Source organism: Homo sapiens, chromosome 11 (genome assembly GCF_000001405.40).
Source record: "Homo sapiens chromosome 11, GRCh38.p14 Primary Assembly".
Classification (NCBI taxonomy): Eukaryota; Metazoa; Chordata; class Mammalia; order Primates; family Hominidae; genus Homo; species Homo sapiens.
In genome coordinates, this window is record NC_000011.10 from 113,687,179 (window position 1) to 113,714,128 (window position 26,950).

Here is a 26,950-nt window from a genome sequence, read left to right on the forward strand (position 1 = left end):
ACATATAGATTTAACAAATTTAAAGAATTAAACAAACCCCATTTCTACAAAAGATACAAAAGAAGAATTAGCCGTGTGTGGTGGCATGCACCTGTAGTCCCAGCTACCAGAGAGGTTGAGGTGGCAGGCACTGAGCCCACAACATCGAGGCTGCAGTGAGCAGAGATGGTGCCACTGCACTCCAGCCTGGGCAAAACAAATAAGCACAAACCAAAATTCTCAAGTAGATGAACAGGAGTCAGCACCAAAGCTTCAATATGTATAGAAGATAGAAGGAAAATTGTAATTCTACCCTGTAATATGTGTTTGTGTCTGTCTGTCTGTCTGTCTGTCTTTGTGCGAGTGAGAGAGAGGAGACAGAGAAAACTGGACCAAGACCATATATCACTTTAATAACAGAACTCCTTGGACCAGTTCACAGAACTGTCATTTAAAACCAATGTCCTAGACCAACTCCAACCTTCTTGTTTTCCAGTGTACCCACCCCACACAGGGCCAGCCACAGCCAGGTGAGAACAGGAAGGGGAGTGGAGAGGGAGAGTGGAGAGGGTCCTGACTCCCATAGGCTTCATCTGGGCTGGCCCAGCCTTGACCCCATCTGCCCAGGAGCCTCTCAGCCATGGAGTCCTCTAGGGAGGCACTTAGCCCACCTAGAGCACAGGAAAAAGGTGGGACGGGGGGCACCTCCCAGCACCCTCCCAAAAGACTCACACAGGGGCAGGGAGGGGAGAGGGCAGAAGGGCAGGCTTCCTGCTGCTTCTAGCAGCCTCTTCATCTCCAGCTCCTACCTCTCTCCTCCCCCTCATCCCTCAGCAACCACAGCATGCCCAACCAAGTCCCAGCCTCTCTTCTGTCATTGAGTCTCTAGTGAGAAAGAGGACTCTGAAATCAGGGCCCAAGAGGAGAGACCTGTTGGCTGGGTGGCTGGCCAGTGGGTAGTGACTGTTCCTCACACACAGTAGTAGGAGGTCCATGCGTTCTGTGTCGGAGGCTACTGCCTCTCCTCCATTAGTGGAGCTGCTGGAGGCCCCAGGAAGCATGAGGCAGTGGTGTGCAGTGAGACTGGAGGAAACAGCAGGACTCAGAGGAGGGAGTCCTAGACCAAAAGGGAAAGGAACTGATTCACAGCATGGCTCTACACTAGCCAAGCGACTTTTATTTTAGTAAATCACTTAACCATGCAGGGCCTTGATTTTCACTTCTATCAAATGAGGCTAAAAATATCTGCTGCTCAAGATTTTTTGTAAGATTTCTTTGAGAAGATCAATACATACATTCCCTGTAAACTCCGAATGTATTATCTACCAACCCCCACCCCTGCCCAACCTTAGAGGAAGATGCTTTTCATGATCATGCCCTAAATTTGTAAAATACTTTAGGTAAATAATGTTTTTGTTTTGTTTTGTTTTTGAGACAGAGTCCTGCTCTGTCGCCCAGCCTGGAGTGCAGTGGCACGATCTCAGCTCACTGGAACCTCCGCCTCCCAGGTTTAAGCGATTCTCCTGCCTCAACCTCCCAAGTAGCTGGGTGCGTGCCACCATGCCCAGCTAACTTTTGTATTTTTAGTATAGACAGGGTTTCACCATGTTGGTCAGGCTGGTCTCGAACTCCTGACCTCGTGATCCGCCCACCTCGGCCGCCCAAAGTGCTAGGATTACAGGCGTGAGCCACCCCACCCGACCAGTAATGTGTTTTTATACACATTATCTCACTTGGCCTTCCCATTGAACAGATGAAGGAGAGTGGCTTGCCCGGAGTCACACAATTTACGTAGGTGCAGAACCCGAACTGCTAAATGCTGAGCTCTCTCCACAGTGCAGGGAATGTGGCCACTAGTAACTGCCTTAGAGACCAGGGATGAATGATGGTAACAGATATACACATAAATAACACGATAGGCCGGGCACAGTGGTGCATGCCTGTAATCCCAGCACTTTGGGAGGCCAAGGCTGGTGGATCACCTGAGCTCAGGAGTTCAAGACCAGCCTGACCAACATGGTGAAACCCATCTCTACTAAATACAAAAAATTAGCCAGGCGTGGTGGTGCATGCCTGTAATCCCAGCTACTTGGGAGGCTGAGGCAGGAAAATCGCTTGAACCCGGGAGATAGAGGTTGCAGTGAGCTGAGATTGCACCATTGTACTCCTGCCTGGGCAACAAGAGCAAAACTCCATCTCAAAAAAAAACAAAAAACACTGCAGATCACTCACTCTAAGCCTAGCACTGTGCTAGGCATTGTACGGGTCTTATTTAATAGCATATAACAATAGCATATAAGTAGCCATCATGGTTATTATCAGGAAATTAAGGTTTAACAAAGTTAGAAATTTGCCAAAGGTCGACACAGGAAATGGTAGATCTGGGATACAAACTCAGGCATACTCTTACCCAGTTCATCCTTAAACTGATAGAAATCCAATGGATTCCATGTTTAAGCTTCACTTCTTCCTCCACTCACTCTGGGGAATATGTCCTAGCACCCTCCCCAGTCCCCAGCAGGGCCCGGGCCTAAGGGGTAAGGTTCCTTGCATTCGAGGGCAGGTCCTTTAGAAATCTCCCTGCCCTACTCCTGCCCCCACACTCACCTGAGCAGTGTCATGGATCCAGTCCAGAAACTCAGCTACCTTGGCGTAGACACCTGGGTGATTGGGCTCTGCGCAGCCACGCCCCCAGCTGACCACCCCCACTAGGCGCCATGTGTCCCCATCTGGGCACACTAGGGGGCCCCCGCTATCTCCCTAAGGGATCCAGGCATGGAGACACAGAGAAACAGCCAGTTAGTTCTTCCTGATGGAGAGCACCAGACCACTATGGCAAGTGGAATCTCCTTACTGGGCCCCGCCTGCTTCTAGCTGAGATATCTGCTGGCCTCACCCCTCCTTAAACCCTTAGCATGAGCTCCAGACTTGCCTAGGTGCCCCTCCTTCTAGAGAGGCTGTCTCACACCACTGACAAGCTCAGACCAGGGCAGGGGGCCAAGTCACAGCAGGCCCCCTGCCCTCCCACCCCCACCTCCACTCCCACCCTCACCCCAGCCACCACAGGCCACACCTGGCATGCATCAGCCCTTCCGTCCAGGTAGCCAGCGCAAAGCATGCGGGGGGTGAGGGCTCCGCTGTACACGCAAGAGCTGTTGCAGAGCTGAGTGCTGAACAAGGGCACCACCGTGTCCTGGAGCATATCCGAGCTGTAAGCTATGAGAGACACCGAGAAAAACTGCAGGGCACAAAGCAAGGCCCAGGCAGGCAGAGCAGCAAGAGGGGAGGTAATTCGAAGTCCCAGAGACAGGGAGACCCAAAGAGGCGAGCCCAGGGTGGGAGCTGTGGACGCTGAGCAAGGAAGCAGTAGGCTATCGGACTTGGGGGCTGGGAGTGGGAAGAGCAGGAGGACTCACACATACACCAAATGTGAGACCATGGCGCTCCTGGGACAAGGGGAGGGGGAGTAAAAGGGTCTGGGTTTAGGGAAAACTTGCAGTAGATGTTCTCCCCAGAAAGGCCCAAGCAGGGGAGACTGGAGACCCTAGGCCTGACCAAGGGTGATGCCAGGGAAAAACAGGGCTGGCACTGTCATGTGGCCAGGGGATGTGGCCTTGCCTCACCCTGGGGAAGAATGCCTCCCACACCCGCCCCTGCACCGAGGGCCCAGGGAGCTGACTCACTATGGCTAGGGTGGGTGTGGCCCCAGCCAGACACCCAGCACCGCGAGCCCTTCGGAAAATGCTGTTCCTTGGCCGGCAGGCACACAGCGCCCACAGTGTCTGTAGAGAGGCACATGGTCCTGGTCCCCAGTCAGGCTTGGCTTCCCCCACTGCAGAGCCTGGGCGAAGGACCCAGGACTGGCAAGTCCTCCTCAGCCCCCTTCTCAAACAGTCCTGGCTCCTGGGTTCCACCAGCCAGGCCTCCTAGATGGCTATGCAAGTGGGGCACTGTCCCATCTTTGGGGTCCCCTGTCACAGAGGACAGCATGCAAACTGCAGTGTGCATGGCGCCCTCTATGGGTGGACAGGACCCATGCTGCCCCCTCCCCACACCTGGGGATGGAGTGGGGGTGAAAATTCTTTCAGGCCATGGGCACCCAACTTCTAATGAGGACAGTGTTTCCAAAAACGTGACATATCCCATGGGTGCAGCCATGCATGATTTTAGGTAGTACATAGGCACACTATTGAGTAAAGCATTCACTTGGGGAGAACGCCATGTCCTTTTCAATTCTCTTTCAGTCCCTCTAACCGCATCACAGAGAAAGACTTCATTTGGTGCTGGTCTGTGCCTTTCTTACTGCCTGCCGTCCTCCCACCAAACAGGAGACAGCACGCCCAGGTGCAGCAACTTCTGCAGCGGACTCAGCTACCTAGAACTTCCACACTGATTTCTTTTCATGCTACATATTTTTGTGGTTAGGATCTATTTATTATAAGTAACATAGGTTCTCTAGTTAGGTAAGTAATATAGGTTCTCTAACTAGAGATACTAATTATTATCTATTTACTATACCTATTTTGTATATTTAAATAGTAAATATGCTATTTACTTACTATACTATATAGTAAATATACTATTTATTATAACTAAATAAGTATATTTAAAAGAGAAATACTACTACAGTAGATACTCATGTAGTATCTACTACTTAGATACTAATATAGTCGTATTTTTCTTTTAAATACACTTATTTCGGTCAACTAAGAAAGTTTTCTTTTCCTTTTTTTTCTTTTTTTTTTTTTGAGACGGAGTCTTGCTTTGTCACCCAGGCTGGAGTGCAGTGGCATGATCTCAGCTCACTGCAATCTCTGCCTCCCAGGTTCAAGTGATCCTCCTGCCTCAGCCTCCCGAGTAGCTGGGACTACAGGCATGAGCTACCACACCCAGCTCATTTTTGTATTTTTAGTAGAGACGGGGTTTCACCATGTTGGCCAGGCTGGCCTTGAACTCCTGACCTCAAATGATCTGCCCACCTCACCCTCCCAAAGTGCTGGGATTACAGGCGTGAGCCGCCATGCCCAGCCTTAGAAATATCTGTTGAACGATAGTTCACGTATGTGATACAATTTGTGAAATGTGTATGGCAATGACTGTTATTTGGGAAACTTAAGGCTACAGGTAATGACGGGAGGAAGGAGTGTTAAGTATATGTGAACGTATATGTGTGTGTACAGTGTGCATGTTTGTGTGTGTGGTGTGTGTGCGCAAGTGTGTTCATGTGAGCACGTACATGTGAGCATGTGTGAATGCTCACGTGTGAGTCTATGTGCACATGACTGTGTGAGTGCATGTGTGTGTGTGTTTGTAGGTGAATGCCCACATGCACGTGTGTGTCGGGGAGAGTGGCTGCTGGTATAGCTCCAGCCTGGGCTCACGGGCAGGTGCAGCAGCAGGAGGAGCCCTGGCATCAGGCTTAGGAACTGTTTGCCACATGACCTTGAAGAGAGTTGCTTCCCTCCCTGCACTGCAGTGCTCTTGTCTGTATCTACCTGTTTCAACTATCTATCAGGGTTGTTACGAGGACTGAAAGAGAAGATATTTGAAAAAATGTATCTCATAAACTGTAACATGGCACCAAATGGCTAGGACCCGAGGCTAGCCTGGGGACAGGGGTGGAGCAGCCTATTGGTGGATGGGGCAGCTGCTTCAGACCTCAAGGCAAAGCCCACCTGCCCCCTAGCCATGAAATGGGTCTGAACCTCTTTTCCCAAAAGAGCCTGTACAAGAGTTGATAACAATTTCAGAACCAGATGATGCCAAAATTCACTAGTCCCAAAATAAATAGAATGTTTTAAGGTTTACAGTGTTCAGAGGAAACTTCAGAAATCAGCTCACCACTCTCCCACCCAGCCCCCGCCCTCTCTCGCCATAGTCTCCAGCCTGCCCACCCTCAAGCCAGTGCCGCACCTGAGAAGTTGAGAGCGGTCTGGAGCCTCAGGAGGGCGACGTCGTAGTCATGATTCTGGGCACTGTAGAGGGGGTGTGGGATAATCCTCTCCACCAGAGCCCCTTGGTGGGGCCTGACGGCACTGTGGCTGACCAGCCCCGCATGAACCCGCCAGCTGGACAGGCGGGCCAGCCTGAAACTGCACACAGGGGCCATGCTGAGCGGGGAAGGAAGGGGCAGAAGAGGTGTTCCTAAGCAAGGTAGCAGGTGGAGGAAGCTGGCCAGAGCAGCCATTGGTGGGGGGGCCGTCAGCAGGCGGTGAGCTCCCAGGCCCCACAGACTATGCCTCTTAGTATCACCCCAGCAGCCGGCAAGACACTGGGCATGCAGTAGGTGCTTAATAAATGCTGCAGGACTGATGGATAGAGAAGACTATGGGTCATCTGCAACCACCACTCCCTCTTTCCTGCATAACTTCCCTCCAAGTTTTATAACAAACACATAGAGGGCCTTGTGTTGGAAAAACTTCCCCTGGTCCCATCTCTCAACTTACTGTGTGTGATCATGGGAGAGGCACTTCTCCCTCTCAGCCTCGGTAAAATGGGGATTACACTCTCTGCCCTGTCCGGCACCAAGAGAAGATCAAAGAGCTCATTCACTCATCATTCATTCATTCCTCCAAGTCATATTTATTAAGCACCTACTATATTCCAGGGACTGTTCTAGACCCTGGGGACACAGCAGTGGATAAATCTACAAAGAGATTTAGTGGTAAATAAGACTGAGAGTCCCTGCTCCTGCAGAGCTTCCCATCTAAAGGGGAAGAAACATATTAACCAAATAATTACATGGAAAATGATTGAACCAAAGATAAGCCTGAAGAAACACAGGATACTGTGAATGTGAAAGTATTTTTAACACTTAAAAGCTAATGAGGCCAGGCACGGTGGCTCACGCCTGTTATCCCAGCACTTTGGGAGGCTGAGGCAGGCAGATCACCTGAGGTCAGGAGTTCGAGACCAGCCAGGCCAACATGGCGAAACCCCATCTCTACTAAAAATACAAAAAATTAGCTGAACATAGTGGTGCCCAGCTGAGGCACAAGAATCGCTTGAACCCAGGAGGTGAAGGTTGCAGTGAGCCAAGATTGCGCCACTGCACTCCAGCCTGGGCAACAAAGTGAGACTCTGTCTCAAAAAAAAAAAAAAAAAACTGATGAATATAAAGAACAAATCTTCATATTATTACTGTTATTTGTGCAGATCTGTTCTTGATACTGAATGAGAGAACTTCACAAACACCAGTCTTACCCTTTTGGAGCAAAAAGCTGGAGACAGTTGGACACGAACATTTGATACAGGACATACCAACAGCCGAACAGAAAGGGCAACTGAGGCTCTCTGTCCTCAGCAGCCACAGAGACTTGCCTGTGCATACAATGTGCAGCAGTCACCACCCAGCGTGGCGCTAGCACAGAGCCCCCACACGTGTGCCGGAAGCCCAGGGCCACGCTGGCCTGCCACGGCCAGCGCCCAGGAGCCACAGACTGCCCACCAACTATCCGGGAAGCCAGGGGCCTCGCTCCACACTCTGCCAACAGAGATGGGTGAGATAGAAAGAGAGAGAGAGGTGAGTGTCAGCATGGTCCTAACTCTCAGGAAGCGTGGCCCAGTGCTAAGCCCCAGAGAGCCAGTGTGGACAGCTCTCCTTTCTTATTCCTGGTCCTAAGTATGGGGGATGGGAAGGTAGAAGTGTTGATTTCACCCCTGCCTGCCCCATCCAGCTGTGGGCCCACTGAAAGCAGAAACTGTATCTGCACTAATGGAGCCCTAGTACCTAACAGAATGCCTGTCCTGTAGTAAAGGTCGAAGTGTTGGTGTGTGGAAGGATGTGTGAATGGACAGATGAAGAGACGGGTAGATGAACGGGAAGACCAATGAAAGGAACTCCACAGATTGCTTCCCGTTTGGTACCTGATTCACCACCTGCCCTTAGTTTCCTGAAGCTGCTAACAGGTCACTCAATAGCCAATAATAATTTCACCTCTGGGGCTTTCCAGAAGAAAGATGGAGTTGGTGTCAGAGGCCAAGGAAGAGAGTGGCAGGTAGTGAAGGAAGGAGATCATCAGCCCAGATCTGTGGCTGGTGAGGGACATGATGGAGGCTTAGAAAGGGTTCGGCTGGGGCAGAACAGCAACTGCAAGAAGGGGCCTGGCAGGCAGATGGGCAGGTGGGCAAGACCCCTACCCCAGGCCCAGCAGAGTCTCACCATAGGGCTCTTCCACACTTGAGGCAGGGGGAACACCCCTTCCTCTCACCGCCACCTCCCCTAGACCAAGATATGACTCACCAGAGCATCTGAGGGAAACAACTTGACCAGAAGTGCAGTTGTTCCTGCAAAACAGAGGTACCAACAAGAAGCTGGGCAGGGGCCGCCCTGCAGCCACACACATCCAAGGACGTGAAGAATGGGGGAGGCTGGTGGGGGTGGTGGACAGTTCTTAAGGCTGTCATGTAGCCACAGCCTGAAGAATACCACCATTTCCTTCCTGCCCCCACCCAAACACTCAGACCCCTCCTCATCAGTGGTCCCCAGGACAGGAGCACACCTCCTGCCTAGTCTCCCAGAGGGCAACAGAAGGACTTCATGGTCCTTGCAGATCAACTGGGACATAGTGTGTTTACAGATGAGAAAGCCACACTGTTCCCACTAAGTGTCCTGAATGAATACACACTCAATGAATGAATGAACGGATAGGTGAGTGTGTGGGTGACTAGGGTTCTTCACCCCATGCTCCTTCCTAGGTTTGCTGTATTCTCCACCCTGGTCCCTCTGCCTGGGCTTTGCATATTCATATTCTTGCTCTCCTCTTTCCCCTCTTCTCTCTTAGCTCTTAGTTCCTTTTTTGACCAAAACTCTCTTCTCTTTCTTTACTCACCTCTTGCCCCTAGCAGTCCAATGTCTAGACCCTCTTAGTTTCTCCTAGTTTCCCAAATCCATAGCCCTCCCGGCTCTCCTGGAGGAGTCAGCCCCACCCCTACTTCCATTTTCCCATTCAGGTATCCAAGACAAGAACCCTGTCAGAACCTTCCCAACTCCAGCCACATTCCTGAGCACAGGAGCTGGACAGGAGGGGCCTGAAGGAACAGTTCAAATTGGAAATGTGGTAATGGGGGTGCCCACCTTTCTATCCCAGGAGGCTGATAGGCAGATTGAGGAAGCCTAGGAAGGCACAAAGACCCTCTCCGCTTGTGCCCCAGTCATACCAAACCATCCCCAGGATCTGGGGAAGGGGCTGCTCCATTCCACAGCCCTCTTCTCTAGGAGACTCTCCAGACTACAAGCAACTCTTAGCCAGAGCAACTCAACCATCTCTTTCCTGAAATATCCGAATTATCCAAATAATGTGTGGCAGGATTCAGAGAGCACTTAGCTTGGAGACAGGAGCCTGGTTTCAAGGCTTGACTTAGCTGCTTATTACTTATGTGACCTTGGACAAGACTCTTTAACCTTATTAAGCCTCAGTTTCCTAACCTGTAAAATGGTGATGAGTACCATGTCAAATCTTGTGACAATAATAACCAACCCTACATTTCTTGTGAAGGGCAAATAGCAGATGTGAAGTGGTGACAGACAGGGCTCATGTGAACTGAGTTTGTAATTTCTAACTAGGAAATGTTCCTCTTTGTCCTCCTATCATAGGCCACCAGTGTCCTCCCCACCGGCATCCCAAGAAAGGAGATTTTTGCTGGATTGACCACCAGGAAGTAAGGGACCCCACTCACCTAACAGCCTCAGTAGTCCTACCTGGGCTGCCACGCCTCCTCCAGGAAGCCTCCCAGTCTAGGAGAGAGCTGAGCAAACTCCTGGGAACTGTTGAGTTTGATGTCAGTGAGGTTTACTCCCTTGTGGTGAGTGAGTCTTGGCAGAAGAAGGGAATAGAACAGGAGGAAATCATAACTGGAATATGTACGAGATATAATACTAGTATAGTGACCGCAAGACTGTGATAATGATTACTGCTGGGGTTTATGCTTGTTAAAAAGCAGTAATACTCCAAACAGAGAAATGGGCTGGGGCACCATTGTGCCCAGAGGCCAGAAGATGGCCAAAAAGACCTCTTGACATTTCCTGAGCACATTGACCAGTGACGGGCAGGTAGAGGTCTCCAATTCCCATCCCACACCAGCCAGGCCTCCCCCTTCACAGGACCCACATCTAACTCCTGTTACCTGAGATGCCCAAGGCTCCAGCAGATCTGCAGCCCCAGGGCGGGGCTCCAGCCCTCATGGCAGACCAGGAGCCAGCGTGGCTGATCCCTCACTTGCGCTTCCAGCAAGAAGTCTTCGCTGTTTATTCTGAAAGATACTGAAATCACAGCATGAAAACCACATGGGAGAGGATGGTGGTGGTAGGGTGGGACAGGAAGAGCTGGACCCAGGATTCTGTAGTACTTGAAGAGGCCTTAATGACAGCATCTGGATCACCCAGTGCCAAGTTCCCTGCTCCCCGGAGAGTGAGACCAGTCCCAAGAGCAGTATCACCCCTTTTGGTAGAGCATTTCAGTTTTCTATTTTAACCATGTGTTTTTAAGCGTGGTCTACCATTCATTGTCACAGCAGCCCTGTGCAATGAGTACTGCCATCCTCTCCATTCTGCAGAAGGAGAACTAAGGCATGGAGTTTAAGCAACTTCCCCAAGATCACAGTGTCAGGAAATGATGGATCCAGGACTTAGATCCAGGTCTTCTGATTTCAAATCTTGTGATAATAATAATTACCAGTTGTTGAGTGTATGCTTTTTCCAGGCTATTATGGACTGACTCATGTCCCCGCCCCCAAACACACACACACAAATTCATATGTTAAAGCCCCAACCCTCAATGTGACTGTATTTGGAGACAGGGCCTTTAAGAAGGTGATTAAGGTTAAATGAGGTCACGAGGGTGACGCCCTGATCCAATAGAGCCAGTGTCCTTATAAGAAGAGGAAGAGACACCAGAGAGCTCCCTCTCTCCTCAAGAGCAGAGGAAAGGCCCGGGGAGTACACAGGCAGAAGACAGCCATCTACAATCCAGGAAAAGAGCTCTCTCCTGAAACCGAATTCCACAGCACCTTGATCTTGGACTTCTAGCCACCAGAACGGTGAGAAAATAAATGTGGTTTAAACCACCCGGTCTGTGGTACTTAGTCATGGCAAACCAAACAGACTACTACACAAGTTCTGTGCTGATATCTTTTCTTAGATTAGTTTGTTTTATCCTTAAACAATTTGTGCAGTAAATATTTATATTTCCATTTTATGGAGAAGGAAACAGAAGCAACAAGAAGTAATGTGCCCAAAGTCACACAGTCAAAGACAGACTCCAACCTTATTCTAATGAGGTTATTCTAAGCCCCAGCCTCTGGACAGCATTGTACCTTCTGATCCCCAACTCTTACCTGGAGGGGAGGGGACAATCAGGAGAGGGAGAGTGGGGATGAGGTGGGCTGATGTTCCCAGGTCCCTAGGTGGCCCTGCTGGTCACACACTGGCTCCCACACACACACACCTGATCCCTCCTCCCCCATGTCCCTGGCTCACTCTGCCCCAAATGGCAAGTTTCCATCCCTCCTGCCAGCCTGGTCTCCGGACCTTGCCCCAGCTAGAGATCAGGACAGTCCTCAGGCAGTGCTGAAAGCCCCAAATCAGAGATCACTGCAAGGTGACACCTTGTCACTGCCCTCACACTAGAGGAGGGAAACACATATGGTTGGCAGTGAACAGATGGCCCTTCAGTGTCGGTTCTCTTGCCCTCAGCTGTGACAGGTCCCTGCTGGGGAGGGAGGCCCGTAGCCTTAGGGGTGCAGCCCACCTGTTTTGGGAAGTGCAGGGAGCAGAGCTTCCTCAGCGCTGGCCTCTGAGCAGCTCAAAGTTATCTCCTCATCCTGCAAGGTCCCGGAAATGGGCTGAGAGGCAGCAGGACACAGATACAGCACTTTAGAGAAGAACAAAGAGAAAGGGTCTGATTTCCAAAGGAAGGTGTCAAGGTGCTGACCTCCTCATCAGCCACCTTGCTCTCAGGCAGCTCCCCAACCAACCTGCTGAGGAGGGGCATAGCGCTCCATCTCTCTCGGCCTCAGCCTCTATCTCTGCCTCTTTGACTCTCCTTTGTCTGTCTGTCTCTCTCTCTCTCTCTCTCTCTCTCTCTCTCTCTCTCTCTCTCTCTCTCTCTCTCTCTCCCTCTCTCTCTCTCTCTCTCTGTCTCTCTCTCTCTCTAGCTGTCTCTCAGTATGTCTCTGTCTCTGTCTGTGTGTGTTCTCTCTGTGTCTCTCTCACTGGGAAAGATTTCCAGAAAAAGTCTGACTACGGCCTCCTTGGATCATACACTTTGTTCTTCTTTATGTAGAGCCTAGATCCCTCCTGCTGCAATTTCACCCTTTCTCCCCTTGTCTGCACAGAGTAGTTGAGGAAGACAGTTGTCCCATTTACCTTTAACACCTGCTCAGCACCTGCTTCTCCCTTCCAACCTCCCCCACACCAGAGAAAGGCCCCCAGCACTGACCTAGGAGCCATGAGCCAACACCTGCACCGGCCAGCAGCCCCAGGGCTCCCAGCACTGCACAGCCACGTCGCATGGAACGCCAGCACACTGCCTGAGAAACTGTGGGAAAGGGCAGAGGGGTATCTGGGTCCCCTGCTCCTGCCAGCCTGCCTTACTTCACCCTAAGTCACCACTATGGGGCTAGGCACCCACAGAGCTCCAACAGGACACCTCCTCCTGCCCCATCAGCCCAGATTAGGGAGGGAGTGGGGGCAGGGGAGGATGGAGAGGGCCTGATCACTGAAGCCCACAAATCCCACTCAATCCCTAAAGTGGGAAATGGGGAGCAGAAGCAGGTCTGGGGATAAAGAGTGAGACAGCCTCTCACCATCAATCATGTGGGGCTGACCCCAAGGAGGATCCGGGGAATGTAGGATGATTGCCCTCCACTGTCCCCACCCTGTCATTCCCCTATGGCCCAGTCTGGCCTACTGGGATGCTGCTGGTCTCCAGGCTCTGCTCTGAAGATCCCAGGTCCTGGGCCCTCCTCTGCATACTGGGCCTCCATAGGGGGTTGGTCATCCAGCATCAGGCTCTGGGGAAATAAGGGCCAGACACCCAGGATCCCCACATCAAGGACTGCTGAGAGAAGTCACAGCCCAGTCCAAGTCCCCATTCTTTAACCCCAGCCATGATTCCATTGCCACTTGTAAACCTCTACTCATCTTGGAGACTCCCTGTATATTCCCACAAATACCTTGCCAGGCTCCCCTGTGCCCTCCTGGGGCCCCTAACCCCAATGACCTTACTCTCACATGGCCAGTAGCAAACACTTGAATGCAGATTTGGCCCACTCCAAAGCCTGCACTCCTAGCCACTCCTTCATCTTCCATAAACATTGAAGGCATCTACTAAAGTCCCTCAACACACTCCTTCAGCTTCAAGATCCCACCCTTCTTCATTCCCTCCTATCTCAGAGGAAGAAGTGCCCCTCCACCATGCACCCACCCATCCACCCATTCATTCATTCCATAGATATTTGGTCCAAGTGCACAGGTCACTATAGGGGACACTATAGGGAGTTCAGAATAAACCAACGTGGACCACTCCCCACTCTGACTGTGTCAAAGAACCTGTAGTCTGGTCCTGAAGATAAGTCATGTAAAGCACTATATGTTAAGTGACAGAAGGAAAGTTCAGCTAAACTACCTGATATGGTTTAGCTGTGTCCCCACCCAAAATCTCATCTTGAATTGTAATCCAAATTGTAATCCCCATATGTTCGGGTAGGGACCTTGTGGGAGGTGATTAAATCATGGGGCTGGTTCCCAAATGTTGTTCTCATGATAGTGAGTGAGTTCTCACAAGATCTGATGGTTTTATATGGGGCTTTTTCCCTCTCCACTCTGCACTTCTCTCTCCTGCCACCAGTTGAAGAAGGACATGTTTGCTTCCCCTTCTGCCATGATTGTAAGTTTCCTGAGGCCTCCCAGCCATGAGGAACTGTGAGTCAATTAAACCTCTTTGCTTTATAAATTACTCAGTCTCCAGTAATTCTTTATAGCAGTGTGAGAACAAACTAATACAGTAAATTGGTGCTGCTGTAAAGATACCTAAATATGTGGAAGTGACTTTGGAATTGGGTAACAGGTAGAGGTTGGAATAGTTTGGAGGGTTCAGAAGAAGACAGGAAGATGTGGGAAAGTTTAGAACTTCCTAGAGACTTGTTAAATGGTTTTGACCAAAATACTGATAGTGATATGGACAATGAAGTCCAGGCTGAGGTGGTCTCAGATGGAGATGAGGAACGTCTTGGAAACTGAAGGAAAGGTGACTCTTGCTATGCTTTAGCAAAAAAGTGAAGCATTTTGCCCCTGCCCTAGAGATCTGTGGAACTTTGGTGGTTTTTTTTTGGCGGGGGGGGGTGTTTTGTTCAACTTTATTGAGGCATAATGCACACTCAAAATATTACATACATTTTAAGTTCTCAGATCAAAACTTTGACAAATGTGTACACCCACATGACCAACACAGTCAAAATATAGGACATGAAGGTCACCCCAGAAATTTTCCTTCTGCCTTTTTGCAGTTAACTCCTCCCCAACTCACAGCCCTGGAAAATCACTGATCTGTTTCTCTCACTGTATATTAGAGTTCCCTTTTTTATAGTTTCATATAAATGAAACCATGTGACATATAGTCTTTCTTTTTTTTTTAATTTTTTTATTTTACTTTAACTTCCAGGATACATGCACAGAACTTGCAGGTTTGTTACATAGGTATACATGTGCCGTGGTGGTTTGCTGCACCCATCAACCCGTCATCTAGGTTTTAAGCCCTGTATGCATTCGGTATTTGTCCTAATGCTCTCCCTCCCCTTGTCCCCCACCCCCAGTCAGGCCCCGGGGTGTGTTGTTCCCCTCCCCATGTCCATGTATTCTCACTGTTCAACTCCCATTATGAGTGAGAACATGTGGTGTTTCTGTGTTAGTCTGCTGAGAATAATGGCTTCCAGCTTCATCCATGTCCCTGCAGAGGACATTATCTCATTCTTTTTATGGCTGCATAGTATTCCATGGTGTATATGTGCCACATTTTCTTTATCCAGTCTATCATTGATGGGCATTTGAGTTGGTTCCAAGTCTTTGCTATTGTAAATAATGCTGCAATAAACATATGTGTGCATGTGTCTTTACAGTAAGATGATTTATAATCCTTTCAGTATATACACAGTAATGGGATTGCTGGGTCAAATGGTATTTCTGGTTCTAGATCACACTGTCATGAGATCTGTGGCTCTTTGGACTTGAGAGAGATGATTTAGGGTATCTGGCAGAAGAAATTTCTAAGCAGCAAAGTGTTCAAGAGGAAAGAGAGCATAAAAGGTTGGAAAATTTGTAGCCTGATGATGTGATAGAAAAGAAAACCCATTTTCTGAGGAGAAATTCCAGCCTGCTGCAGAAATTTGCATAAGTAATGAAGAGCTAAATGTTAATCACCAAGACAATGGGGAAAATATCTCCAGGGCATGTCAGAGACCCGCAGAGCAGTCCCTTCCATTACCAGACCAGAGGCCCAGGAGAGAAAAATGGTTTTGTGGGCCAGGCCAGGACCCCCTGTTCTGTGCAGCCTGAGACATGGTACTGTGTGTCCCAGCTGCATCAGCTCCAGCCATGGCTAAAAGGGGACAAGGTACAGCTCAGATCATTGCTTCAGAGGGTGCAAGCCCAAGCCTTGGCAGCCTCCTTGTGGTGTTGAGCCTGCGGGTGCACAGAAGTCAATAACTGAGGTTTGAAAACCTCCACCTAGATTTCAGAGGATGTATGGAAACACCTGGATGCCCTTGCAGATGTTTGCTACAGGGATGGAGCCCTCATGGAGATCCTCTGATAGGGCAGTATGGAAGGGAAATGTAGGGTTGGAGCCCCCACACAGAGTTCCCACTGGGGCACTGCCTAGTGGAGCTGTGAAAAGAAGGCCACCATCCTCCAGACCCCAGAATGGTAGATCCACCAACAGCTTGCACTGTGAGCCTGGAAAAGCTGCAGCCCATGAAAACAGCCAGAAGTGGGGCTGTGCCCTGCAAAGCCACAAGGGCAGAGCTGCCCAAGGCCATGGAAGCCCACCTCTTGCATCAGCGTGACCTGGATATAAGGCATGTAGTCAAAGGAGATCATTTTGGAACTTTAAGGTTTAACGACTGCCCTATTGGATTTCAGACTTGCATGGGGACTGTAACCTCTTTATTTTGACCAATTTCTCCCATTTGGAATAGGTGTATTTACCCAATGCCTGTATCCCATTGTATCTAGGAAGTAACTAACTTGCTTTTGATTTTACAGGCTCATAGGCAGAAGAGACTTGCCTTGTCTCAAATGAGACTTTGGACTTGGACTTTTGGGTTAATGCTGGAACGAGTTAAGACTTTGGGGGACTGTTGGAAAGGCATGATTGTGTTTTGAAATGAGGACATGAGATTTGGAAGGGACCAGGATAGAATGATATGATTTGGCTCTCCCCTCACCCACAATCTCATTTTGAATTGTAATTTTGAATTGTAATTACCACGCACTGGGGGAGGGACCTCATAGTAGGTGATTGGATCATGGGGGCAGTTCCCCTATGCTATTCTCATGATAGTGAGTGAGTTCTCACAAGATCTGATGGTTTTATAAGGGGATTTCCCCCTTTACTCTGCACTTCTTTCTCCTGCCAGCATGTGAAGAAGAGTGTGTTTGCTTCCCCTTCCACCATGATCATAAGTTTCCTGAGGCTTCCCCAGCCATGCAGAACTATGAGTCAATTAAATCTCTTTCCTTTATAAATTACCCAGTCTCAGGCAGTTCTTCATAGCAGTGTGAGAACAGACTAATACACTACCATCATCATTCAAAAGAATAAGGGCTTACTTCTCATTGAGGTGATCACAGAAGGCTTCCTAGAAAAAGCAGCCTCTGAGACAGGCCCACAGGGATGAAGAGGGTTTGAGCTGATATAATGGGCATTGGGCAGTCCAGACAAAGAGGATTGAATCAGCAAAGGCAAAGGGATAAGAAAGCATAGAGCAGAGTATGTCATATGTGTGTCTGCAGCTCATGAGCCATGAAGAGGAGTAATGAAAATAAGATCTTAAAAAAAACACCAGACAGTTCAAAGCTAAGTCTGCAACCTACTATGTGAACTTGGACAACTCAGGCCATCTCTTCAAATTTCAATTTTCTCATTTGTAAAATAAGAGTAATAACTCCTGCTTTCCAAGGAATAATCTCCCTCCTCGAGTATCTTGTCTCTCTCTGTTATTCTCCATGCCATAAAGTCAGAGTAATCTTTCTAAAATGCAAATATGAGCATGTGAGCCCCATCTCTACCCCATGAGTCTTTGTGGCCTTCAGGATCAAACAGGAGCTCCATGGCATCGCTCACAAAGTCCTCCATGATCTCGCCTGGCCTCACCTCTCCATCCTCACTGCCAGCACTTGCTCCCTCCACAGCAAAATTTGGGATCACACTGACATACGTGCCATACTTCAGTGCCTTCAGGCACTCTCACAACAGAGAGACTTTGCATCTGCTCTCCCCTTTCCCATGTAACTGACTCCAACTGACCCTTCGAGACTCAGCACAGACATCACTTCTCCAGGAAGCTTCCTTCTATGCATACAGCACCTGTTGGGCCCTATATTGTGCTCATTTACTTCCTTCTCTCTCCTTTCTCACTGGTTTTTGCATCCCAGGGCTAAGCACAGAGCCTGGCACAAAGTGGGAATTCAGTTAAAGTACATTAAAGGAGGGAAGGAAAGAAGGGAGGGGGGAGGGAGAGACAGAGGGGGAGGTACAAATAAGATAATGTGAATTAAAATGACTTTAAAAATTGTAAAGCCCAATACAAATGTTAAGTATAATAATATTAATAAGAACTACACCTAAGCTGTGGATCCTTCCCCCCAAAATTTATAATCCAGTAGGGTAGATAAGATCTCTCAAAACTGAAGCAACTCCCGTTTCCCCTGCAGACTACTGTCTCCCCTGCATCTTTCCCTGTCAACACATAGGGTTGTACCCAATGAGGATAAAAGCCTGAAATGCTGACTCCAGGACAGTATTGGCTTAAATGTGATTTTCATGTGTCACATGAAATGTTCTTTTCACGCCAAAACCTCCCCAGTCATGCCTTCGTACTCCACTGAACTGTCTTCCTAACCCTCCAGCAGGAGGAAGGAAAGACTTTGTCAGACTCACCTAGGTCAGTCACCTCCAAATTGCCCCGAAAATCATTCCACTGGACCCAGAGCACCCATGCCAGTTCAGCTCACAGACAGCGCAGCAGCCCCAACATCTTGCCTATAGAAAGAGGTACCAGCCCCACCTCCCTATTCCCTACACCAGCCACAGCCCAGGACCTATAGGACTGGACCTCCCAAGAGCTGCAGGCCTTGCTTTTCCAGGAGAAACAGAGGTCATGGTTTGTATCAAACCACACACATTCTTTCTTGTGCCTACAGATGAGACTCACAGGACACAGGCAGTGAGGCTGCAGGACAGCAGGCTTGGGAGAGCCAGTCAAGCACCCATAAGATAGTAGAGAAGCAGCAACAGAAGGTGAGGTTTGGATTTCTTCTCTGGGGTTGTGTGATTGCTCTTGAGCTGATGTCCCTCTGAGTGGAGAGGCAGGCCTGATCTAGAGAGAATTCCAGGGCATGGCCAGTCTTTTCTTCTGCCTCAGTACCAAGGAAGCTTGGCTTTAAACCCAGCCTCTGAATAAACTGGCCTCACCTCATGTACTGCTCCACCTCAAAATTCAACTGCCCAAGCTCATGTGCTAGCCTAGAAAAAAAAATGGCCTTTAAAATTACAGGACTCCTTGCTCCTCTTTTTGAGTGGAAGTTCAACGTAATAACGATTTGTTGAGCACCACATATGTGCAAAGCACTTGATAGATCTAAGAGGGATGAAAGAGGATAATAAAGGGCAGTCCCTGGGGAGGAAACAGGAAATTGGCCACACAGGGCCCCTGCTAGGATCCAGCCCCTGTACCAGAGCTGCCTCAGGAGGCTCTTTCCACCAGCCTAGAATCCCAAGGGCAGAGGAGGGAGAGAGAAAGAAAGAGAGAGAGGCCACAGCAGGGATGGCACAGAGACGTAACCTTACCATAGGGGTCAGTGGCACTGTTGTAAAGCCTCAGGGTCTACTAGGCAATGTTCCGCTCCTGTTCTCAGGCCAGCATTGATTAAAGCTAGCCCAGCAAGCTTGGTTGGAAGATGAGGTCTCCCTGGTTCGCACATGGCCCCTCCCTGTATCCCTACTCCAACACTCACACAGACACGCGCCACAGAGACAATGAACTCTGCTGAGGACCCATGAATAGGCCCCTTGTTGCAGGAAAGGGGGACAAGGGCTGGGCTGGGCTAGGCAACCCCAGCCCCTCCCATCTGCTAACTGGAAACTCAGAAACAGAGGAAAAGGTTATGGGGAGGAGGGGAGGCCAACTACTGTTGCTTAGCAACAAGGTCCCTTGTGCCAAAAAGTGTGCCCCATGCATGCATGCTGGCAGAATTCTCCCTTCCTGCTGACAGAGCTGTATTGGAGAGACCGATATTAGCATTTGTTGAAATGTTTCTGAGCCCTCTGGATTTTATCTCGCCTCCATGTGGGTTGGCTTTTCTAGCAGTCTGGGGCTGTCACCATGTTGGAATTGTTGGGGTGATGATGGAAGATCTTTGTCACCTCTTGCCCGAGGGCCACATCTGTCTCCCCAATGCCAGGGAAGTGGGGCCTCTACCCCTGTCTGCCCTGGGAGCCAGTTGCAGCAGGAGCCCTCAGTGCTATCTTGTTTCAAAGCACAAGGTGACCCAAGTGAGCCCACACGGGGCTAAACACACCTGGGAGCAGGCACATCTCTTTAGACAAGGAGGCAGAATAGGTCCTGGGGAAGGCAAACACAGGTGGGGCTTCCTTTCCTCCAACTGGCTGCTCAAAAACCCCTCAGAAGGGACAGTTAAGAATATAGGCTTTAGAGTCAGGCCTTCATCCAACCTCAGTTCTCCCACTTCCCTTACTCAGCCTCACCTGTAAAATGAGGATAATAGTACATGCCTCATAGGGTTGATGTCAGAATTCATTGAGATATTGCCTATAAAGCCCATAGCCTGGTGTCTAGCACAGACTGTATTCAGCAAACAGTAGCTGCTATTATTATTGTTGTTGTTGTTGTTGTTGTTGTTGCTGAATGTCACCCACACAGGATTTAACTTTTTGCTCCCTATTTTCCTCATACACTGTATTAGTCAATTCTTGCACTGCTATAAATAAATACCTAAGACTGGACAATTTCAAGAGAAAAGAAGTTCTCACTGTTCCACAGGCTGTACAGGAAGCACAGTGACTTCTGCTTCTGGGGAGGCCTCAGGAAGCTTCCAATCATGGTGAAAGAAAAAGGGGGAGCAAGGCCTCTAACATGGCAGGAGCAAGAGCAAGAGAGAGAAGGGGGAGGTGCCACACACTTTTAAACAACCAGATCTCATGAGAACTCTATCACGAGAATAGCACCAAGTGGATGATGAATCATGAAGGTTTCTTGATCATGAAGGATCCACTCCCATGATCAAATCACCTCCCATCAGAGTCCACTTTTAACATTGAGGATTATAATTTGACATGAGATTTGGGTTGGGACACAGATCCAAACCATATCATACACTCAGTGTGTCAATTCTGAACTTACTCTCATCACACCAGAGCACACATAAGACAATGAAGAGATAGAGGTCAGCTGTGAATTATAGAAGAAGGAGAGAAATGGTGGCTGGAACTCAGAAGCCCTTGGCTAGGCTCTGAGGTCTCCTAGGACAATACTCTTCAGACTACAAACCTGAATATCTACCGTGTGTCAGAAACTAGCCTGGGCATGGAGGATGAACAAGTCACAGACTGGGTGCTTACAGACTGGAAAAAGGGATAGAAACAGATGTAAGTAACTGTTATTATGAAAAGTGAAATAACAAAGACATAAACCCAGAGGTATAGGAGAATAGAGGAATAGCTGCCCTGAGGATACAAAGAAGAGGGCTTTGCAATGGAGGAGACATTTGAACTGAGTTTTGAGAAGTGACAAAGCAATCACAAAGAAGGGTAATTAAAATATATTGCACGTAATGTCAATGAAAATGGTAGGAGTAAAATCCTCTGAAAATTTCCTCCCCCCTAAAAGCAATGAGAAAAATGGCAAAAAATGGTGAGAATCAATTTTTTCAGAACTCTGGAAATTAATCAAAAGTTTATAGCAATCTGGGAAGTCTTCGTTCAAGAAAAAAAATGACATAATTATAGAAAGAAGAGTGAGCCTTGTGGCATTTTAACTTGCTCCAATTCCATCCCCCTCACCCCAACTCTGCAGTAGCTTTGAAAACCAACAAACCACAATCATCATGGAAACCAGCAGCCTGGCAGCTACAAGAAGGGGTAGAACAGCCTTGGAGTTCCTTCAAAGCCTCATTCCCAGAGAGTTGTAATTATTTGACCTGTCTAGTGGTTCCCTGGAAGATACCATTTGCAAGACTGTCTTTATTTCACCTGTCTCAAAGCTTGCCTGGAGTGAACAGCTTTTTCCTTAAGGGTATTTGTTGAAAACAACTAGAGACAATTGTTGGACTTTGTGGCTGCCTAAAACAATGGATAACAGTTGAGGCAAAAAAAAAAAAAGGGCTAAACAAAAAGCTTAAAAAGAAAATGTGGGGGAATAAAATATCTATAAAGGGCCTTGAAAGGCTCTGAAATATCCCAAGGAATATAGAAAGCCATATGTACGCACAGGAGGGTGCACATGCCCAGGGCTGTGCACATGTGCAGGAAAAACTAAGGAAGGTCCTGAGCTCTCACCCTGGGCTAAGCTTAAGGCTCTGCACAAGCAGGAAGGCTAAGGTGGAGTTGTCAATGTCCTGTCTGAGAGTTGAAGGCATGTCCCAACATACACACAGAGCCACTCTGCAAAAACAAGGTGACTTATTGGTCTCAAGCATCAAGAAACTCTCTGTCTAATTACTAGCTGAACACTAAGCAGAGAGAGATTTCAGTGGCCACACATGACAAAAAACACAGACTTTGCAGAATTAGCTCAGAAAAGTCACTAAACACACAAAGAAGCAACATCAACAACAACAAACCCTGAGGAAGGGAGAGAAGGTTATTTCCAAAGTTGCTGTATTATATTATGTTATTTAAAATGCAGTTTTCAATAAGAAATTATGAGGCACACAAAGAAACAAGAAAGTAAGGCACATACACCGGGGGAAAAAATAATTGATAAAAACTGTCCCTGAAGCCCATATATTGAACTTATAAGATGAAAACTTTAAATCAGCTATTCTATATACATTCAAAGAAGTAAAGAAAACCATATCCAAAGAACTAGAAAAAGGTATGAGAATAATATCTTATCAGGTAATGAATATCAACAAGGAGATAGAAATTATATATTTTTTTCAAGAACCAAATATAAATTCTGGAGTTGAGTAGTATGATAGCTGAAATGAAAAATTTACTAGAAGGGCTCAACAGCAGATCTGAGCAGGCAGAAGAAAGAATCTGTGAATTAAAGATATGTAAATTGATATTATACAGTCTAAGGGATAGAAAGGAAAAAAGAATGGAGAAAAATGAACAAAGGTTCAGAGACATTTGAGATAACATCAAAAATATGTAGTGTGTGTGTGTGTGTGTGTGTGTGTGTGTGTGTACGTGTGTGTAATGAGAATCCAAGAAAGAGAAGAGAGAGGAAGCAGAAATAATATTTGAAAAAATAATGACCAAAAACTTTACAAATTTGATGAAAAATATTAATCTGCACATGCAAAAAAACTCAATAAACTTCAAATAGGATACATCAAAGAGATCCACACGTAAACACATCATAATCAAATTGTTTAAGGCCAAAGACAAGAAAGATTCTTGGAAGCAGCATGAGGAAAGCAACTTATCACATACGAAGGGATCTTCAATCAACAGTTTAACAGTTAAGAGTTGGCTTCTCATCAGAAACCATGGAAGCCAGAATGGCATATTCAATTCCTTAAAGAAAAAGATTGTCAACCAAAATTCTGTATCTAGCAAAACTACCCTTCAAAAGTGAAATAGTAATTTAGATAATCTCAGATAGACAAAAACTAAGAGAATGCATTGCTAGCAAACCTGTCCTACAAGAAATACAGTCATGTGCCACATGACAGTCAACAATGTACCACATATTCAACAGTGGTCCCACAAGATTATAATGAAGCTTTTATACTGTATTTTTAATGTATCTTTCCTATGTTTAGATACATAAATACTTAGTATTGTGTTACAGTTGCCTTCAGTACTCAGTATGGTAATATGCTATCCAGGTTTGTAGCCTCAGAGCAGTAGACTATGCCACATAGCCTAGGTGTGTAGTAGGCTATACCATCTAGGTTTGTGTAAGTACACTCTATTTCACACAATGACAAAATCGCCTAACAACACAGTTCTCAGAATGTATCTCCTTCATTAAGTGATGCATGACTATACTAAAGGGAGTCCTTTAGGCTGAAATAAAAAGATATAAGACAGTAACTTGAATCCACATTAAGAAATAAAAAATGCTAGTAAAGGAAAGTATATAGGTAAACATAAAAGACAGTATAAATGCATTTTTTTGTTTGTAATTCTTTTTGTTCTCTCATCTGACTTTAAAGACAATTGCATAAAGCCATAATTATAAATCTGTATTGATGGGTATATGGTGCAAAAATATATAATTTGTATGACAATACAGCACAAAGTAAGAAAAGAATGGAAGTAATAAGAGCAAAGATTTTTATACTATTAAAATTAAATTGGTATTAATCTGAATGGATTGTTATAATTTAAAATGTTAATTGAAATTATCAGGCTACTAAGAAAATAACTTAAAATGTATATAGTAAAAGAAATGACAGAGGAGTTAAAATGGAACACTAGAAAATAACTGTTTAACACAAGGCAGAAATGAAACAAAAACACATAAGACATATAAAAAACAAATAGCAATATAATAGACATAAATCCTACCTTATCAGTAGTTACACTAAGTGTAAATGGATGAAACTCTTCAATTAAAAGGTAGAAATTGGCAGAATGAATTTTTAAAGCCATGATCAAGCTATATACTATATATAAGAGACATATTTTAGTTTTAAAGACAAAATACGTTGAAGGCAAAGGGTGGAAAAAGAGGTTCCATGTACACAGAAACCAAAAGAGAGCTGGAATAACTATAATAATATCAGACAAAATAGACTTTAAGACAAAAATCATTGTGAGAGACAAAGTAGGACATTTTATAATGATAAAAGAGTTAATCCTGCCAGGCACGTTGGCTCACACCTGTAATCCCAGCACTTTGGAGGGCTGAGGTGGGTGGATCACTTGAGGGCAGGAGTTCAAGACCAGCCTGACCAATATGATGAAACCCCTTCTCTACTAAATATACAAAAATTAGCCAGGTATGTGGCATGCACCTGTTATCCCAGCTACTCAGGAGGTTGAGGTGGGAGAATCACTTGAGCCCAGGAGACAGAGTTTGCAGTGAGCTGAGATCGTGCCACTATACTCCATTCTGGGTGACAGAGATAGACTCCATCTTGAAAAAAAAAAAGAGTCATTTTCTGTGGGGCACTGCCCGGTGGCTCTGGCCCCATGGGGCCATTGGCCCAGCTTGCCATTCCCTGAGCTCCGGTGGCCCATTGTTGGAGGAGCTGTTCGCCCAGGGCAGGCCCTTGTGGACCTTTCTCAAGCTCCAGGCGGGGTCTGAGGCCCATTTGAAGGTCAGGAGGCCCGAGCTGGTGACAGTGGTAAAACTGCTGAACGAGAAGGAGCAGGAGCTGCAGGAGACCGAGCACTTGCTGCACCATGAGAATGAAGATTTAAGGAAACTTGCAGAGAATGAAATAACTTTGTGTCAAAAAGAAATAACTCAGCTGAAGCATCAGAAGAAACAGATGAAAATGATTTGATCCTGGAAGTAACTGCAGGAGTTGGAGGTCAGGAGGCAATGTTGTTTACTTCAGAGATATTTGATAGGTATCAGCAATATGCTGCATTTAAAAGATGACATTTTGAAACCCTGGAATATTTTCCAAGTGAAATAGGTGGCCGTAGACATGCGTCTGCCAGCACTGGGGGTTCAGAAGTCTATAGGCACATGAAATTTGAAGGAGGTGTGCACAGAGTACAAAGAGTGCCAAAGACAGAAAAGCAAGGCTGCATCCATACTAGCACCATGACAGTAGCAATATTACCCCAGCCTACTGAGATTAATTAATTGAATTGATCCCTTTACCATTATGTAATGGCCTTCTTTGTCTCTTTTGATCTTTGTTGGTTTAAAGTCTGTTTTATCAGAGACTAGGATTGCAACCCCTGCTTTTTTTTGCTTTCCATTTGCTTGGTAGATCTTCCTCCATCCGTTTATTTTGAGCCTATGTGTGTCTCTGCACGTGAGATGGGTCTCCTGAATACAGCACACTGATGGGTCTTGACTATTTATCCAATTTGCCAGTCTGTGTCTTTTAATTGGGGCATTTAGCCCATTTACATTTAAGGTCAATATTGTTATGTGTGAATTTGATCCTGTCATTATGATGTTAGCTGGTTATTTTGCCCGTTAGTTGATTCAGTTTCTTCCTAGCATCGATGGTCTTTACAATTTGGCATGTTTTTGCAGTGGCTGGTACCAGTTGTTCCTTTCCATGTTTATTGCTTCCTTCAGGAGCTTTTGTAAGGCAGGCCTGGTGGTGACAAAATCTCTCAGCATTTGCTTGTCTGTAAAGGATTTTATTTCTCCTTCACTTATGAAGCTTAGTTTGGCTGGATATGAAATTTCCGGGTTGAAAATTCTTTTCTTTAAGAATGTTGAATATTGGCCCCCACTCTCTTCTGGCTTGTAGAGTTTCTGTCGAGAGATCCGCTGTTAGTCTGATGGGTTTCCCTTTGTGGGTAACCTGACCTTTCTCTCTGGTTGCCCTTAGCATTTTTTCCTTCATTTCAACCTTGGTGAATCTGACAATTACGTGTCTTGGGGTGCTCTTCTCGAGGAGTATCTTTGTGGTGTTCTCTGTATTTCCTAAATTTGAATGTTGGCCTGCCTTGCTAGGTTGGGGAAGTTCTCCTGGATGATATCCTGAACAGTGTTTTCCAACTTGGTTCCATTCTCCCTGTCACTTTCAGCTACACCAATCAAACATAGATTTGGTCTTTTCACATAGTCCCATATTTCTTGGAGGATTTGTTCATTTCTTTTTACTCTTTTTTCTCTAAACTTCTCTTCTCATTTTATTTCATTAATTTGATCTTCAATAACTGATACCCTTTCTTCCACTTGATCGAATCGGCTATTGAAGCTTGTGCGTGCATCACGTAGTTCTTGCACCATGGTTTTCAGCTCCGTCAGGTCATTTAAGATCTTCTCTACACTGTTTATTCTAGTTAACCATTCATCTAATCTTTTTTCAAGGTTTTTAGCTTCCTTGCAATGGGTTAGAACATCCTCCTTTAGCTCAGAGAAGTTTCTTATTACCGACCTTCTGAAGCCTATTTCTGTCAACTCGTCATTCTCCATCCAGCTTTGTTCTGTTGCTGGCAAGGAGGTGCAATCCTTTGGAGTGGAAGAGGTGCTCTGGTTTTTAGAATTTTCAGTTTTTCTGCTCTGGTTTCTCCCCATCTTTGTGGTTTTATCTACCTTTGGTCTTTGATGTTGGTGACCTACAGATGAGGTTTTGGTGTGGATGTCCTTTTTGTTGATGTTGATGCTATTGCTTTCTGTTTGTTAGTTTTCCTTCTAACAGTCAGGTCCCTCAGCTGCAGGTCTGTTGGAGTTTGCTGGAGGTCCACTCCAGACCCTGTTTGCCTGGGTATCACCAGCAGAGGCGGCAGAACAGCAAATATTGCTACCTGATCCTTCCTCTGAAAGCTTCATCCCAGAGGGGCACTCACCTGTAGGAGGTATCAGTCGGCCCCTACTGGGAGGTGTCTCTCAGTTAGGCTACACACGGGTCAGGGACCCA

At 46.8% G+C, this 26,950-nt stretch overlaps 1 protein-coding gene and 1 pseudogene across 7 annotated transcripts, besides 2 other annotated features; one reads left to right on the forward strand and one right to left on the reverse strand.

The window, feature by feature from the left end:
* Positions 1-371: 371 nt before the first annotated feature.
* On the reverse strand, positions 372-19,130 carry TMPRSS5 (transmembrane serine protease 5). Of its 7 annotated transcripts, none has more exons than NM_030770.4 (13): positions 19,044-19,130; positions 12,888-12,990; positions 12,417-12,515; positions 11,727-11,849; positions 10,105-10,240; positions 9,680-9,793; positions 8,222-8,265; positions 7,300-7,462; positions 5,893-6,071; positions 3,663-3,761; positions 3,053-3,195; positions 2,587-2,739; positions 372-1,096 (listed from the first exon to the last, which is right to left on the reverse strand). In NM_030770.4, exons 1-13 carry the CDS (start codon positions 19,044-19,046, stop codon positions 1,082-1,084), a joined length of 1,374 nt encoding a protein of 457 aa, NP_110397.2. In that variant the 5' UTR covers positions 19,047-19,130; the 3' UTR covers positions 372-1,081. The 7 variants fall into 7 exon arrangements, 5 of the variants coding, with proteins under 5 accessions (NP_110397.2, NP_001275680.1, NP_001275679.1 ...); NM_001288751.2 differs by having other exon boundaries at positions 12,784-12,990; NM_001288750.2 differs by lacking the exon at positions 12,888-12,990.
* Positions 2,162-2,663: an enhancer, noted in NCBI's record as "H3K4me1 hESC enhancer chr11:113560062-113560563 (GRCh37/hg19 assembly coordinates)". NCBI's record gives its function as "activates a minimal SCP1, AML or CMV promoter by ChIP-STARR-seq in primed H9 embryonic stem cells {active_cell/tissue: H9 hESC(primed)}" and the evidence as "EXISTENCE:reporter gene assay evidence [ECO:0000049][PMID:30033119]".
* Positions 2,891-4,090: an enhancer, noted in NCBI's record as "MED14-independent group 3 enhancer chr11:113560791-113561990 (GRCh37/hg19 assembly coordinates)". NCBI's record gives its function as "activates an origin of replication core promoter dependent on BRD2, BRD4, P300/CBP and CDK7 cofactors, and independent of MED14, by STARR-seq in HCT116 cells {active_cell/tissue: HCT116}" and the evidence as "EXISTENCE:reporter gene assay evidence [ECO:0000049][PMID:35650434]".
* MTRF1LP1 (mitochondrial translational release factor 1 like pseudogene 1) lies at positions 24,552-25,221 on the forward strand (annotated as a pseudogene).

Excerpts from the sequence above, each read along its gene's own strand:
- TMPRSS5 (NM_030770.4), bottom strand. Across the intron at positions 6,072-7,299 it reads GCTGCACATTGTATGCACAG|TTTCAGGCTGGCCCGCCTGT; the intron begins GCAAGTCTCTGT and ends CCCTGTGTGCAG. Across the intron at positions 2,740-3,052 it reads GAAGGGCTGATGCATGCCAG|GGAGATAGCGGGGGCCCCCT; the intron begins GTGTGGCCTGTG and ends TGGATCCCTTAG.